General features: G+C 43.0%; 1 protein-coding gene across 1 annotated transcript in view; it reads left to right on the forward strand.

The window, feature by feature from the left end:
- Window positions 1-1,397: 1,397 nt before the first annotated feature.
- Window positions 1,398-15,048, forward strand: part of ZFP1 (ZFP1 zinc finger protein) — a 53,233-nt gene continuing 39,582 nt past the window's right edge. Inside the window, exons 1-4 of the mRNA XM_011522921.3 lie at window positions 1,398-1,978; window positions 8,572-8,708; window positions 10,227-10,347; window positions 14,905-15,018. Of these exons, the coding sequence (XP_011521223.1) occupies window positions 14,984-15,018 (35 nt within the window). The 5' untranslated portion in view covers window positions 1,398-1,978; window positions 8,572-8,708; window positions 10,227-10,347; window positions 14,905-14,983. The remainder of the gene's footprint in view (window positions 1,979-8,571; window positions 8,709-10,226; window positions 10,348-14,904; window positions 15,019-15,048) is intronic.

Here is a 15,048-nt window from a genome sequence, read left to right on the forward strand (position 1 = left end):
TGCCTTGGCCTCCCAAAGTGCTGGGATTACAGGCATGAGCCACCGCGTCCAGCCTCTTTCCAGGTTTTATCCTGATCTAAGGGAGATTTAACTAAGAGTCTGGCACCTTTTAACGCCTTAGACATTTACCATCTATGTTACATAATAAGAACCTTGGGCCGGGTGCAGCGGCTCACATCTGTAATGCCAGCACTTTGGGAGGCCAAAGTGGGAGGATCACGAGGTCAAGAGATAGAGACCCTCTTGGCCAACATGGTGAAACCCCGTTTCTACTAAAAATACAAAAATTAGCTGGGCATGGTGGTACACGCCTGTAGTCTCAGCTACTTGGGAGGCTGAGGCAGGAGAATCGCTTGAACCCAGGAGGTGGAGGTTGCAGTGAGCTGAGATCGCACCACGGCACTCCAGCCTGGCGACAGAGCGAGACTCTGTCTCAAAAAAAAAGAACCTTGGTCTCCACAACTCCTTATCTTAACCCAGATGCTTATTTCTATTGATTCCAGGTTGTCTTTTTTAAAATTTTTTATTTAAAAAAAATTTTGTTGTTGTATACCAAGATTCCAAGTCTTTGGATAATAACTTCTTTCAACCAATTGAAAATCAGAAATTTTTTTTTTTTTTTGAGATGGAGTCTCACTCTGTTGCTCAGGCAGTGGCGTGATCTCAGCTCACTACAACCTCCATCTCCTGGGTTCAAGCTGTTCTCATGCCTCAGCCTCCCAAGTAGCTGGGATTACAGGAGTGCCACCATGCCCAGCTAATTTTTGTATTTTTAATAGAGACAGGGTTTCACCATGTTGGTCCAGGCTGGTCTCGAACTCCTGACCTCAAGTGATCCACCCGCCTTGGCTCCCCAAAATGCTGGGATTACAAGTGTGAGCCACCGTGCCCAGCGCCAATCAGAAAAGTCTTTGAATTCACCTATGACCTGTAAGCTCCTCCCTCAATCAGAAGGAACCAATGCATACCCTGCTTATATTGATTACTGTCTGATGCCTCCCTAAACTGTATAAAACCAGTTGTAACTCAACTGCCTTGGGTACATGTTCTCAGGACCTCCAGGGAATGTGTCACAGGTCATGGTCTTCATGTGAGTGGTGGGAAATCCATACAGGTCTACATAAAACTCAATGCTTGCCTCATCAGAAGAAAGAATTCTACTGAAGAGGTCTGAAAGGGAAATATCTTGAGCCCCCAAAATTACTAAGCTAAAGGGAAAAGTCAAGCTGGGAACTGCTTAAGGCAAACCTGCCTCCCATTCTTTCAAAGTCACCCCTCTGATCACTGAGCTAAATGCATATCTGATTGCCTCCTTTTGAGAGGATAATTAGAAACTCAAAAGAATGCAAACATTTGTCTCTTATCTACCTATGACCGGGAAGCCCCCTCCCTGTCTTTCCAGACCCAAACAATGTTCATCTTACGTATGTTGAGTGACGTCTCAAGTCTCCCCAAAATGTATAAAACTAAATTGTGCTCTGACCACCTTGGGGACATGTCATTGGGATCTCCTGAGGCTGTGTCACACCATCATCATTGGCAAAATAAACTTTCTAAATTAACTGAGACCTTTCTCAGATTTGGGGGGTTCATATTTTGGTAACCACAGAAGAATTCTGACTGGAGGCGCCCCTGACCTTTGACAAAGCTATCAGTGCTTGGTACCAGCTTGAGCTATCTTTATGGCTCAAACCAATAGGACAATTTGCTGAGGCCCGGAAGCACACCCTCCAGAGAATACCTTATCTTTCAAAATCTGGTCAAGATCTAAAGTTCATTTTGTTGTACAACTCCTCTTTTTTTTTTGGAGTTTTACTTGCTTCTAACACAAGGAAGGCAAATTTTTCCTGCTTCCATGTTGATGGAAGGCAGGTAACTCCTTTATGGTGTTTGAGCTCGCAACCAACAGGGAAGATGAGGGTTTTTCCCTGCTTCTAGGATGGTAGAGAGCAGTCTTCAGCCTGAAACCCATCCCTAGGTAAGTAACTGAATTGGGGTTTGTTTTGGCTAAAGTTAAGATTACAACCAGCTGGTCTTAATTTCTCCTTACCACTAGAAAGCTTAGTAATCATATAAATTGTGTGATCATTTGTTTTGCTTAACTGTTTTGTTGTTGTTCATTTCTCTTTTTGTTGTTCTTTCAGTCTTTTTCCCATTGGGTTTGATCAACTCTATCTGACTTGATCAAATACAAAGGAAGTCCCAAATTATGGGGAACAAGGCCTCTGAAGTGGCTAAATTCACACACACACACATACACAAAGGATGATGTGATAGGGGGTGAAAAACAGCCAGCAAAAGGAAAAAAAAAAGGAAAGATTTTTTATTTTGACTACTAAGTGGCTTTAGTTACACAACGAGGCCACCTTTTTGCTAGCCAGGCCAAACTGAAAGAGCAATGGCTGTGCTTCTGAAATAGCAGCAATTTGTCCTAGCTGAAATATGGTAATGAGATTTTAAAAGATTTTTTTAAAGGAGCTCAATGATTAAAAGTCAGCTTAATTAAAAGCTAACATCGAAGATGTGCATGTGTATGTGTGGTGTGTGTGTGTGTGCGCATGTGCGTGTGTGTGTTTGTATTTAAAAGGACTTCATGTTTTTGTTTTTGTTTTTCTCCAAGAATCTTGTCTTTTTTTGAGCGAAAGTTTTTTTCTTCTCAGTTGACTGAATTCTGTTTTCTTCATTTACTTCGGCTGTATCTCCTTTCTCTTGCACCCTCTGCTGCATGAGGGACCTAAAATAGTTTATAATAGCTGGGGTTCCTTAAAGAGAACAGAGAAGGCACCAGGCTCCCTTTAAGGGAGAAACCTGTTTTTTCTTATGCAATCCCCAGAGTGTAAACAGGCAAGTTCGTCTCGTCTCTTCAACTGCTTACTTTTGTATTGTTGTTACCTGTTTGTGGTTTTTTTTTGGGTTTTTTTTTGTTTTTTTTTTTGACTAAAATAGTTATTGCAACAGAGGTTACCCTTGGGTTTTTTTGTTTTTTGTTTTTTGTATTGTTTGTTTGTTTGTTTTGAGTCTGAGTTTCACTCTGTCGCCCAGGCTGGAGTGCAGTGGCGCAATCTCGGCTCACTGCAAGCTCCGCCTCCCGGGTTCACGCCATTCTCCTGCCTCAGCCTCCCAAGTAGCTGGGACTACAAGCGCCACCATGCCCAGCTTGTTTTTTGTTTGTTTGTTTGTTTGTTTGTTTGTTTTGTATTTTTAGTAGAGACGGGTTTCACCGTGTTAGCCAGGATGGTCTCGATCTCCTGACCTCATGATCCGCCCGCCTCAGCCTCCCAAAGTGCTGGGATTACAGGCATAAGCCACTGCACCCAGCCTACCCTTGGGTTTTTAAGGAAGACTATGGTTTAGACACTTAGAAATGTCTTTGTTTAAAAGAAGTTTTTTAAAAAGTGCACTGTAAAAGCATCACGTGTTCTAACCTCATAATAAGTGTCCCTTCTTGGAGACCCAGGATTCAGTGTGGGCTCTGCCCAGAGCTCAGAGATCCACTTAAAAGGTAGTCCCTTTATCTAAATAAAACTAGTCTCCTTATACAATCCTATGATAAATTTCTTTTTTGTTTTTTTTTTTTTGAGACAGAGTCTCGCTGTCACCCAGGTTGGAGTACAGTGGGGTGATCTCTGTACTCCAGAGAGTACAGACATAACTGGGACTACAGGCGCCCACCACCACGCCCAGCTAATTTTTTGTATTTTTAATAGAGACGGGGTTTCGCCGTGTTAGCCAGGATGGTTTCGATCTCCTGACCTTGTGATCCGCCCACCTCGGCCCCCCAAAGTGTTGGGATTACAGGAATGAACCACCACACCCGGCAAATTTCTTTAATTTTATGTTTGATTTGGCATTCATCTTTCATCTCCCTCTGGCACCATCAGACTTTTTCTCTCTGTACCTTATGATGTAAATTTTGCTATTTGATTTTCACCTGAGTTGTTTCCTTTAATATGCAAACATAAGGCTAGTTAGCTGACAACTGCCTAGGGTTGTGAAGCAGGTTATCAATAATCTGAGTGTATCCATAAGATGTACTTCTATCAGCATGCCTAATACGTCTATGTATTTATGTGTTGTGTACACAATGCTTCACTACTGAAAATGCTTAAAAGAGCTCTAATTAACTGGCTTAAGAAAATAAAAGTGCTCGAATGAAATGCTTTATCAGGAAAAAAGACTCGTCAAATATTTTTTCAAGTTTATGTAACTCAGTAAAATTATTAATAAATAAGCTAGCCTTAAAATTACTGGTAAAGTAATATTAGAAATGTCTGAAGAATTGCCAGCATACATTTTTGTTTGCATATTAATCCAGCAGTTTCATACTTATCCCTGCCAAATACTATAAGGTGTCAAAATTTCTCATAGGGGTTACAAAACTGTATACCCAGCCCAAAACAGAATGATCTTTGCTTGTGTAAGCTTGTTAGAAATGCAAAATGCTTATTCCCCAGTGCCACAAAGAAATAGCACTCAAACATAAATTTAGTTTTCTCAGCAAGGCAATTTTCACTTTCTGCAGAAAAGGTGCCCCTCGCAGATGAAACAATGGTGAGAGCACACTTGGACAGGGGAGGGGCAGGAGTTCTTATTCCTCATGCAGGTAGCCCCTACTGCTGTGTCGTTCCCCTATTGGATAGGGTTGGACCGCACAGTCTAAGCTAATTCCAATTGACTATTTTAAAAAGAGCAGGAGTACCAGCCGGAGTGGCAGGGTGAGTAGTTTAGCAGTAAGGGCGGTTACAGAACAGTTGGCTCAGGATGAATCAGGACAGAGTAGGTGACCAAGAGTGACTCAGGTCAAAGCAGGTGACCAGGGGAACAGCTGTGAACTACTGATTAGGACTGGCGGGAAAGTTGTTTACTGAAACTAGAAGCTAGGGGGCAAAGAGAACCAGGAAGCTAAACTTTAAAATGGAGAATCAAAGAATAAGAGAGCTGAACATACTGACATACTGATTCTTTGAAGAGAAACTTGGAGTTCACTATATTTAACAAATCTTTAATAAATAAGACATTAATATTGGTTTAATAAAAATAGCTACATCTTAAATTTAGTAAGATTACCATAACTTCTCATCTTGTGGCTTTAGGCAGTCCGGTCTATAGGCAATAGTGTTTGTTTTGGAAAAGCACTGTTATCATCTTTGTTTCAAAGCTAAATTATAAGTTCCTCCCAAAGTTAGTTTGGCCTATGCCCAGGAATGAACAAGAACAGCTTGGAGGTTAGAAGCAAGATGGAGTCACTTAGGTGCAATCTTTTTCACTGTCTCAGTGATAATTTTGCAATGGCAGTTCCATAATTTTAAATAATGACAAGCACAGTTTTTATAAATAATCTAGGTAAGTAATTAAAATAAAATAAGTAAATATTATAGGATAAATATAGACAAACTCATAATTTTGAATCTAAAGTTAAATAATAGAGATTTTATTATTTGGGTATTTTCCAATAAAAATATATTTGGGCCAAGTGCAGTGGCTCACACCTGTAATCCCAGCACTTGGGGAGGACAAGGCGAGTGGATCACGTGAGGTCAGAAGTTTGAGACCAGCCTGGCCAACATGGTGAAACCTCATCTCTATTAAAAATGCAAAAATTAGCTGGGCACAGTGGTGCATGCCTGTAGTCCCAGCTACTCAGGAGGCTGAGGCAGGAGAATCACTTGAACCCAGGAGGTGGAGGTTGCAGTGAACCAAGATCATGCCACTGCACTCCAGCCTGGGCGACACAGAGACTCTGTCTAAAATATATATATGTGTATATATATATATATGTGTATATATATTTGTGGAATGTTTTCCTACAAATATATATATAAGAATGTGTGTGTGTGTGTGTGTGTATATGTATATATATATATATATATATATATATATATATATATATATATATGTAGGAAAACATTCTTTTTTTTTGGAGAAAGAGTCTTCCTCTGTCACCCAGGCTGGAGTGCAGTGGTGCAGGGTTCAAGCAATTCTCCTGCCTCAGCCTCCCAAGTAGCTGGGACTACAGATGCATGCCACCATGTCTGGCTAATTTTTTGTATTTTAGTAGAGACAGAGTTTCACTATGTTGCCCAGGCTGGTCTCGAACTCCTGAGCTCAGGCAATCTGTCCACCTCAGCCTCCCAAAGTGCTGGGATTACAGGTGTGAGCCACCACACAGGCCAAAAACATTCTTTCTTAAAAAAAGTTGTGTCCCAGCCAGGTGTGGTGGCTCACACCTGTAATCCCAGCACTTTAGGAGGCCAAGGAGGATGCATCACAAGGTCAGGAAATCAAGACCATTCTGGCCGACACGGTGAAACCCTGTCTCTACTAAAAATACAAAAAAAAATTAGCTGGGCCTGATAGCACGCACCTGTAGTCCCAACTACTCGGGAGGCAGAGGGAGGAGAATCACTTGAACCCAGGAAGCAGAGGTTGCAGTAAGCCAAGATTGCGCCTCTGCACTCCAGCCTGGGTGACAAAGTGAGACTCCATCTCAAAAAAAGTAAAATACAAATAAAAAATAAGTGTGTCCTTTTGAAAAAGGTGAACAATTTTTGTCTAATTGAAAGTTTTTTTTTTTTGAGACAAGAGTCTTGCTCTGTTGCCCAGGCTGGAGTGCAGTGGTACAAAGCTCACTGCAACCTCTGCCTTCCAGGTTCAAGCGATTCTCCTGCCTCAGCCTCCCAAGTAGCTGGGATTACAGGCACCCACCACCACTCCTGGCTAATTCTGATATTTTTTAGTAGAGACAGGGTTTTGCCATGTTAGCCAGGCTGGTCTTGGACTCCTGACCTCAGGTGATCTGCCCTCCTCAGCCTCTTAAAGTGCTGGGATTACAGGCGTGAGCCACCACGCCCGGCTTCAAAGCTAATTTAAAGGTCATGTATAAAACAAGGTAAAAGGGGCCGGGCATGGTGGCTCACGCCTGTAATCCCAGCACTTTGGGAGGCTGAGGCGGGTGGATCATGAGGTCAGGAGATCGAGACCATCCTGGCTAACACGGTGAAACCCCATCTCTACTAAAAATACAAAAACAAAATTAGCTGGACGTGGCGGCAGGCGCCTGTAGTCCCATCTACTTGGGAGGCTGAGGCAGGAGAATGGCATGAACCTGGGAGGCGGAGCTTGCGGCGAGCTGAGATGGTGCCACTGCACTCCAGCCTGGGCAACAGAGCAAGACTCCATCTCAAAAAAAAAAAAAAAAGCAAGGTAAAAGGAACCAGGGAATAAAAGAGATGTAAAAAAAAGTTATAAAAATAAAGAGGTTTTTTTTTTTTTTTGGTAAGAAAGCTTAAAGAGAAATAATTTCATATGAGAAAGAATTTTGTATGATAAATTTAGTACTAAAGTAAAATGGCTGGTAGTTTAAGAAAGAGGAATGGGCTGGGCTCACTGGCTAAGGTCTGGAATCCCAACACTTTGGGAGGCCGAGGTGGGTGGATCAAAGGTCAGGAGTTTGAGACCAGCCTGGCCAACATGGTGAAACCCCATCTGTACTAAAAATACAAAAATTAGCCAGGCATGGTGGCACGCACCTGTAATCCCAGCTATTTGGGAGGCTGAGGCAGGAGAATTGCTTGCACCTAGGAAGCAGTGGTTACAGTGAGCTGAGGTCATGCCACTGCACTCCAGCTGGGACAACAGAGCAAGACTCTATCTCGAAAAAAATTTTTTTTTAATTAAAATTATCACATCCTTCTATCTGCCTGTATGTACTTTTGTTTGTTTGTTTGTTGTTTTGTGACGGAGTTTGGCTCTTGTCGCCCAGGCTGGTGTGCAATGGCACAATCTCAGCTCACTGCAGACTCCACCTCCTAGGTTCAAGAGATTTCTCCTGCCTCACCCACCCAGGTAACTAGGATTACAGGCATGCACCACCACACCTGGCTAATTTTGTATTTTTTTAGTAGAGACAGGGTTTCACCATGTTTGTCAGACTGGTCTTGAACACCTGACCTCAAGTGATCACCCACCTGGGCCTTCCAAAGTGCTGGGATTACAGGCCTGAGCCACCGTGCCCAGCTGGAAGTTGTATTTTATGATCAAGATGAAAATTTTATAAATTGTTTATAAAATTTTGGAAAACAAATTTAATTGGCTTCATGTTGTTTTTACTAGGGCTTATCATTTAAATCTCTTCTCTTAAAGAATGAAGGTTTTCAGGCCGGGTGCGGTGGCTCATGACTGTAAGCCCAGCACTTTGGCAGGCCGAGGAGGGCAGATCACCTGAAGTTAGGAGTTCAGGACCAGCCTGGCTAACATGGTGAAACCCCATCTCTACCAAAATACAAAAATTAGCCAGGCATGATGGCAGGTGCCTGTAATCCCAGTTACTCAGGAGGCTGAGGCAAGGAGAATCGCTTGAATCTGGGAGGCAGAGGTTGCAGTGAGCAGTGAGCTGAGATCAACCCCCTGAACTCCAGCCTGGGCAACAGAGCAAAACTCCATCTCAAAAAAAAAAAAAAAAAAGAATGAAGGTTTTCACTGTATTTTTTAAATCCTTGAGTTATCACTTTGGTTAAATGAATTCTTCTTTTAATTAATTAACTAATTTATTTATTTACTTTTGTGAGACAGAGTCTTGCTGTGTCGCCAGGCTGGAGTGCAGTGGCACGATCTCGGTTCACTGCAACCCCCGCCTCCCAGGTTCAAGCGATTCTCCTGCCTCAGCCTCCCAAGTAGCTGGGACTACAGGCGTGCATCACCATGCCCAGGTAATTTTTTTATTTTTAGTAGAGACAGGTTTTCACCATGTTGGCCAGGATGACCTCAATCTCTTGACCTCATGATCTGCCCACCTCAGCCTTGCAAAGTCCACCCGCCTCGACAGAGTCTTGTTCTGTCACCCAGGCTGGAGTGCAATTGTGCAATCTTGGCTTACTACAACCTCTGCCTCCCAGGTTCAAGTGATTCTCCTGCCTCAGCCTCCTGGGTGGCTAGGATTACAGGCATGCGCCACTACACCAGGCTAATTTTTGTATTTTTAGTAGAGATGGGGTTTCACCATGTTGGCCTGCTGGTCTCAAAATCCTGACCTCAGGTGATCCACCCACCTTGGCCTCCTTAAATGCTGGGGTTACAGGCATGAGCCAGCACGCCCAGCCAGTTAAATGAATTATTTTGCAATGACTTGTAATCCTATTTTGTAATATCAAGTGTTTTATACCTTTGATATTTGACAAACTTTCCAAGATAAAATTATAAATTATGTTTTTTTCTGACCTAACTAGTCTTTTAAAATGTTATTAATAGGTTCTCTAAAATCCAAAAATGACATATTTGGCTTATTTGGTCTAAAAATTATACAGGAAGCATTGTCAAATATAAAATGGTGTTTGGTTTTCTTTGGGCTGTATTCCTATAAATATGTTATTGGTATGTGTCCCAAAATTATGAGAAACTCCTATAATTCTGATCTGACTTAATGTACATTATCAGTAATAACCATAATTGTTATGTTAAATTATTGTGTGCTGCAGAAGTAACAAATTTCCTTGCCAATTGTATCTTTGACTATGGCTGCTCTAAAACTTTTTGTCATTCACGGATAATCGTCTTGTTTTGGTCCTCTTTGGTTTTACAATCAGCTATAAAACTGATTTTATAAAAGGTAGTTTTATAATCAGCTGTAAAACTCTAAAACTCTAACAGGTGCTCTTTTTTTGGGCAGGGAAAGAGTCTCCCTCTGTTGCTCAGGCTGGAGTGCAGTGGCATGATCTCAGCTCACTGCAACCTCTGCCTCCTGGGCTCAAGTGATTCTTAACTCCGGCCTGGGCGACAGAGCAAGACTCTGTCTCAGAAAAAAAGCATGAGCATGAAGAGGGAAGCATGAGGAGATCAGTCTCCCAAGTAGCTGGGACTGCAGGCATGTACCACCACGCCTGGCTAATTTTTGTATGTTTAGTAGAGATGGGGTTTCGCCATGTTGGCCAGGCTGGTCTTGAACTCCTGGCCTCAAGAGATCCGCTGGCCTCAGCCTCCCAAAGTGCTGAAATTATAGGCATGAGTCACTGTGTCTGGCCTAACAGGTGCTCTTGAATGCAGGTTTCTGATAACTTTGGAGATTGTGACATCAGCATAAAGGAAAAACTTTCAGGATTCAGGGAGGGCTGAAATGTTCATGAATATCAAGCAGAACAGGAATTAACTGCATGGACTAAACTAATAGAAGTCTGAAGTAATCTTTTTAACTTTTTGCTTAAAACATTGCTGATCTTTGTTTTGCTTTTCAGAGTCAAGAAAACTTTTAAGCTATTTACAACTTTTAACAATTGAGTTAAGTATACTCAAGAACAAAATTCAGAGCATATTTGTTTCTCTCTACCTGATTTCTACAGATTTTGGAAACTATTTGTGAGTATTCCTAACTTATGACAATACAGTTATTTGCATAAGTGCAAAAAGAATCTGTTTTCATTTGTAACAGGACACCATTGGAGAAACTAGTTATTTTTACCAAGACTTTGACCAGAACGGTGTGCTTTCCTTTAAGGAATCAAACTTCACTTATGGAGCCAATAAAAGCCCCTTGAAAAACTGGCCTCATACCTTTGTCTACACAGTCCCTGTAAAGGGTTCCTGACCTGTGGTAAGTAAAGAATGTCACTGTGGGGCCCAGGAGCCCCACGTTTATCTTGGAACCTCAAGAGGAGAAGAATTTACCCAACTCATCAGTATTTGATGGTACAAATTCATGGCTGGGCTCGGCTTTAAAAAAAGTCTTATCTGAGATTCCTTCTCTGGGACAACGTTCCATCAAAACCAGTTTAAAAGCCTGTGTAAACATTAATTATTTTTGCTGTAGTGTATACAAATAATTAGGCCAAGTACAATAAAGCAAACCAGTCCTACCATGATTTGTCTTTAGTAAAAATAGGAAACTAGAGAGAGGAAAATTATGTTTCCAAAACTATAGTAACACTCATTGTTAGATTCTAGTCTTGTCTAATATTTTTCAATTCTTATTATTATCTACAGTTTGAACCAAATTCTAATTTTTCTTGGCAACGTGTCTTCAAAATAATGTTTTCAAATTTTTCCTTCTTTTTTTCCCCATTTTGCCTAATCTGGAGTCACTGAAAACTAAGCTGTGTTTTCATAAAGCCCTGTGAACTGAAGCTGGACAACTTAAACTTCAGAAGAAAATAACAGCAACCTATTTATATTTATATACATAAGCCACTTTTTTTGTTGTTTGTTTATTTTTGAGACAGAGTTTTGCTCTTTGTGTTGCCCAGGCTGGAGTGCAATGGCACAATCTTGGCTCATTGCAACCTCCGCCTCCGGGGTTCAAGCTATTCTCCTGCCTCAGCCTCCCAAGTAGCTGGGATTACAGGAGTGCACCACCACGCCTGGCTAATTTTGTATTTTTAGTAGAGACGGGGTTTCTCCATGTTGGTCAGGCTGGTCTCAAACTCCCGACCTCAGGTGATCCGCCTGCCTCAGCCTCCCAAAGTGCTGGGATTACAGATGTGAGCCACCGCGCCGGGCCAGCCACTTTCGTATCTGTCTACTGATGTATGGACTTCGGAGTAATGTGGCCTATATCAATTTTTCAGGATTGTTCTTTTGTTTGTTGTTGTTCTCCTTTCCTCCCCCTATTTTCTCTTCAGAGGACGTGAGACTTCACAACCTTCTAAAAATGAGCTTTCCTAGCAACTAGGGACTTACCTGTCTAGGAATAAACCATCCTAGCCATGAGAGATCAGATGAAACCTGAGATCAGAGACTGATTTTCTTCTAAAATGCTTTCTCTAAAAGATTTTTAAAAAGAAAAAGGGGGAATGTGAAGGAAAATATCTTGAGTCTTCAAAATCACTAAGCTAAAGGGAAAAGTCAAGCTGGGAACTGCTTAGGGCAAACCTGCCTCCCATTCTATTCAAAGTCACCCCTCTGCTCACTGAGATAAATGCGTATCCTTTTGCCTGTCTTGGAGAGGCTAATAAGAACCTCAAAAGAATGCAACCATTGGTCTCTTATCTACCTATGACCTGGAAAACCTTCCCCACTTCTAGTTGTCCCGCCTCTCCAGACAGAACCAATGTTCATCTGACATATGTTGATTGATGTCTCATGTTTCCCTAAAATGTAAAAAAACAAACTGTGCTGTGATCACCTTGGGCACATGTCACCAAGACCTCCTGAGGCTGTGTCATGGGCATGTGTCCTCAACCTTGGCAAAATAAACTTTCTAAATTAACTGAGATCTGCCTCAGATTTTTGGGGTTCACAGAGGCATAAGGCAGAAGGAGAGACCAAGGCAAGTTTTAGAGCAGGAGTGAAATTTTATTTAAAAAGCTTTAGAGTGGGAACAAAAGGAAGGAAAGTACACTTGGAAGAGGGCCAAGAGGGCAACTTGAAAGACAAGTGTGTGGTTTGACCTTTTGACTTGTGGTTTTTTTGTTTTTTGTTTTTTTTCAGACAGAGTCCACTCTGTCGCCCAAGCTGGAGTGCAGTGGCGCAAGCTCGGCTCACTGCAACCTCCACCTCCTGGGTTCAAGTAATTCTCCTGCCTCAGCCTCTCCAGTAGCTAGCTGGGATTACAGGTATGCACTACCACACCTGGCTAAGTTTTGTATTTTTAGTAGAGATGGGGTTTCACCATGTTGGCCCGACTGGTCTCAAACTCCTGACTTCCAGTGATCCGCCTGCCTCAGCCTCCCAAAATGCTGGGATTACAGACATGAGCCACCATGTCCAGCCTGACTTGGAGTTTTATATGGTGGCACGCTTCTGGGGGTCTTGCAGCCCTTCTCCCCTGATTCTTTTTTTGAGGTGGGTTGTCCACATGGTCAGTGGCCTGCTAGCGCTTGGGAGGGAAACGTGCAATTTGTTGACTGGCCTTGTACGCATGCTGACTTGAGGCTTTCTTCCCTTACCAGCTGAATGTTCCTAGAAGGTCATATATCTCTTAAACTCCATCATTTTGCTTCTTAGTACGCATGCTCAAGCTCAGTCACCCAACTCCTGAGATCTTATTGGGAAGCTGATCATCCGTTTCAGGTTTTTGTATCTATTGGGAAACTGCCTTTCCCTGGAGCAGGCTGCCACCAACTGTTATTTTAGAGAAACAGTGTAACTGCCTGACCATCACCTGAGGGTGGCCTGACTTTCCTGTTGGGTGGAGGGGGAGCCTTCTCTTGCCCTGTTCATGCCTGCCTAGCTACCTACCGTAATACTCACATGAGTAAATCCCTTCAAGTATTTTACAGTTTGATTCTTTTTTTTTTTTTGGTTGACAAAACTGAGGGATAAAGACCATTCCACGGCCTAAAACGCTTCAGTGGCTTCCTGTGGCCCCTCAAACAAATGCAAAGCCCTTGCAGTGGCCTTAAAAATCCTGCTGTGCCCTGCTGACCTCCCCACAGATCTGGCACCTTTTAGGGCCTGATATCCATTTATCATCTTTCCTATATCCCGCTTCCTCCCAACCTCCTCATTGACCTCCTAAGATCCAGCTTTCCTTTCTGTCCCTGTGGGCCTCAAGCTCTAGCCAGGCTTGCTCTTGACACACGCTGTGCCCTCGGTCTGGCATATTCTCCAGGCTTTCCACCTGGCCAGTTCTTCCTCACCCTGCAAGTCTAGGTATCAGTGTCCCACTTAGAGTGGGCCACCCTCAGGAGCATGAGGAGGGAAGCTCAGGGAGGGCTTTCAGGATGGGATGGGGTTGGGCAGTGGGGCAAGCCAGGGAGGCTTCCCGGAAGAGGAAATTTGAGGATGAGCAGCAGTTTTCCAGGTAGGTGAAAGAAAAGACTTCACAACTCTTTCATATTCACCCTCCCCGGGGCAGAGCTCAGGACCATCCTGGAGTGATGCGGCTGCTGTTCTTGAAGCTAATTCCTAGCTCGTTTTCCTCCCACAGCAAATGAGAAGCATCACGTTGCTAACATCACCAAAACAACGATCTACCTACCCTCGTTTTTCTTCCCATCAAATCGGGAGTGCACACTCCCCTCTCATCCTAGCTGGGTACACACTCCCCTCTCATCCTAGCTGGGTCCTTCACCCCTGCCATATTTGAATGAGTTTATATGTCCACCTCGGTTCGTTGCTTACCTGGATTGTCTCAAAAAATGTCTATCTTGTCCAGGCACAGCGGCTCACGCCTGTAATCCCAGCACTTTGGGAGGCCGAAGTGGGTGGGTCACCTGAGGTCAGGAGTTCGAGACCAGCCTGGCCAACATGATACAACCCTGTCTCTACTAAAAATACAAAAAACTAGCCGTGTGCAGGGGCAGACACCTGTAATCTCAGCTACTTGGGAGGCTGAGGTGGGAGGATCGCTTGAACCCAGGAGGTGGAGGTTACAGTGAGCCAAGATCACACCACTGTACTCCAGCCGGGACGACAGAGTGACAGAGATTCCATCTCAAAAAAAAAAAAGAAAATGTCTGTTTTACAGTTGGTTAGTTCAAATCAAGTTTGGTTGATGCGTCTCATAAATCTTTTTATCTGCAAGTTTCCCCCTTCCTTTTTTCATGGCATGTATTTGTTAAAGAAACTGGGTAAGCCAGGCATGGTGGCTCACACTTGTCATCCCAGCGCTTTGGGAAGCCAAGGCGGGGAGATCACTTGAGGTCAGAAGTTTGAGACCAGCCTGGGCAACATAGCGAAACCCCATCTCTACCAAAGATATAAAAAATTAGCCAGGCATGGCGGCATATGCCTGTAGTCACAGCTACTTGGGAGGCTGAAGTGGGAGGATCACTTGAGTCTGGGAAGCAGAGTTTGCAGTGAGACAAGATCATGCCACTGAGCAACAGAGTGAGACCCTGTCTCAAAAAAAAAAAAAATGAAGCAGGGTCATTTGTTCTGTAGAAATTTCCATATTCTGTATTTGGGTGATTGCATCCTTGTGGTATTGAATATATTTCTCTAATCTCTGTATTTCTTATGAACTATTATATCTAGGTGAGATGCTGGCCAGTACAACTTTCTGCTCTGATGGAACCATGCTAGATCTGCGCTTCCCACTTTGTAGCCAGTGGTCATGCATTGCTATGGAGCATTCAAAATGTGGCTAAGGTAACTCAATTGTCTATTTCATTTCATTTC

The sequence above is a fragment of the Homo sapiens genome, chromosome 16, assembly GCF_000001405.40.
Source record: "Homo sapiens chromosome 16, GRCh38.p14 Primary Assembly".
Taxonomy (NCBI): domain Eukaryota; kingdom Metazoa; phylum Chordata; class Mammalia; order Primates; family Hominidae; genus Homo; species Homo sapiens.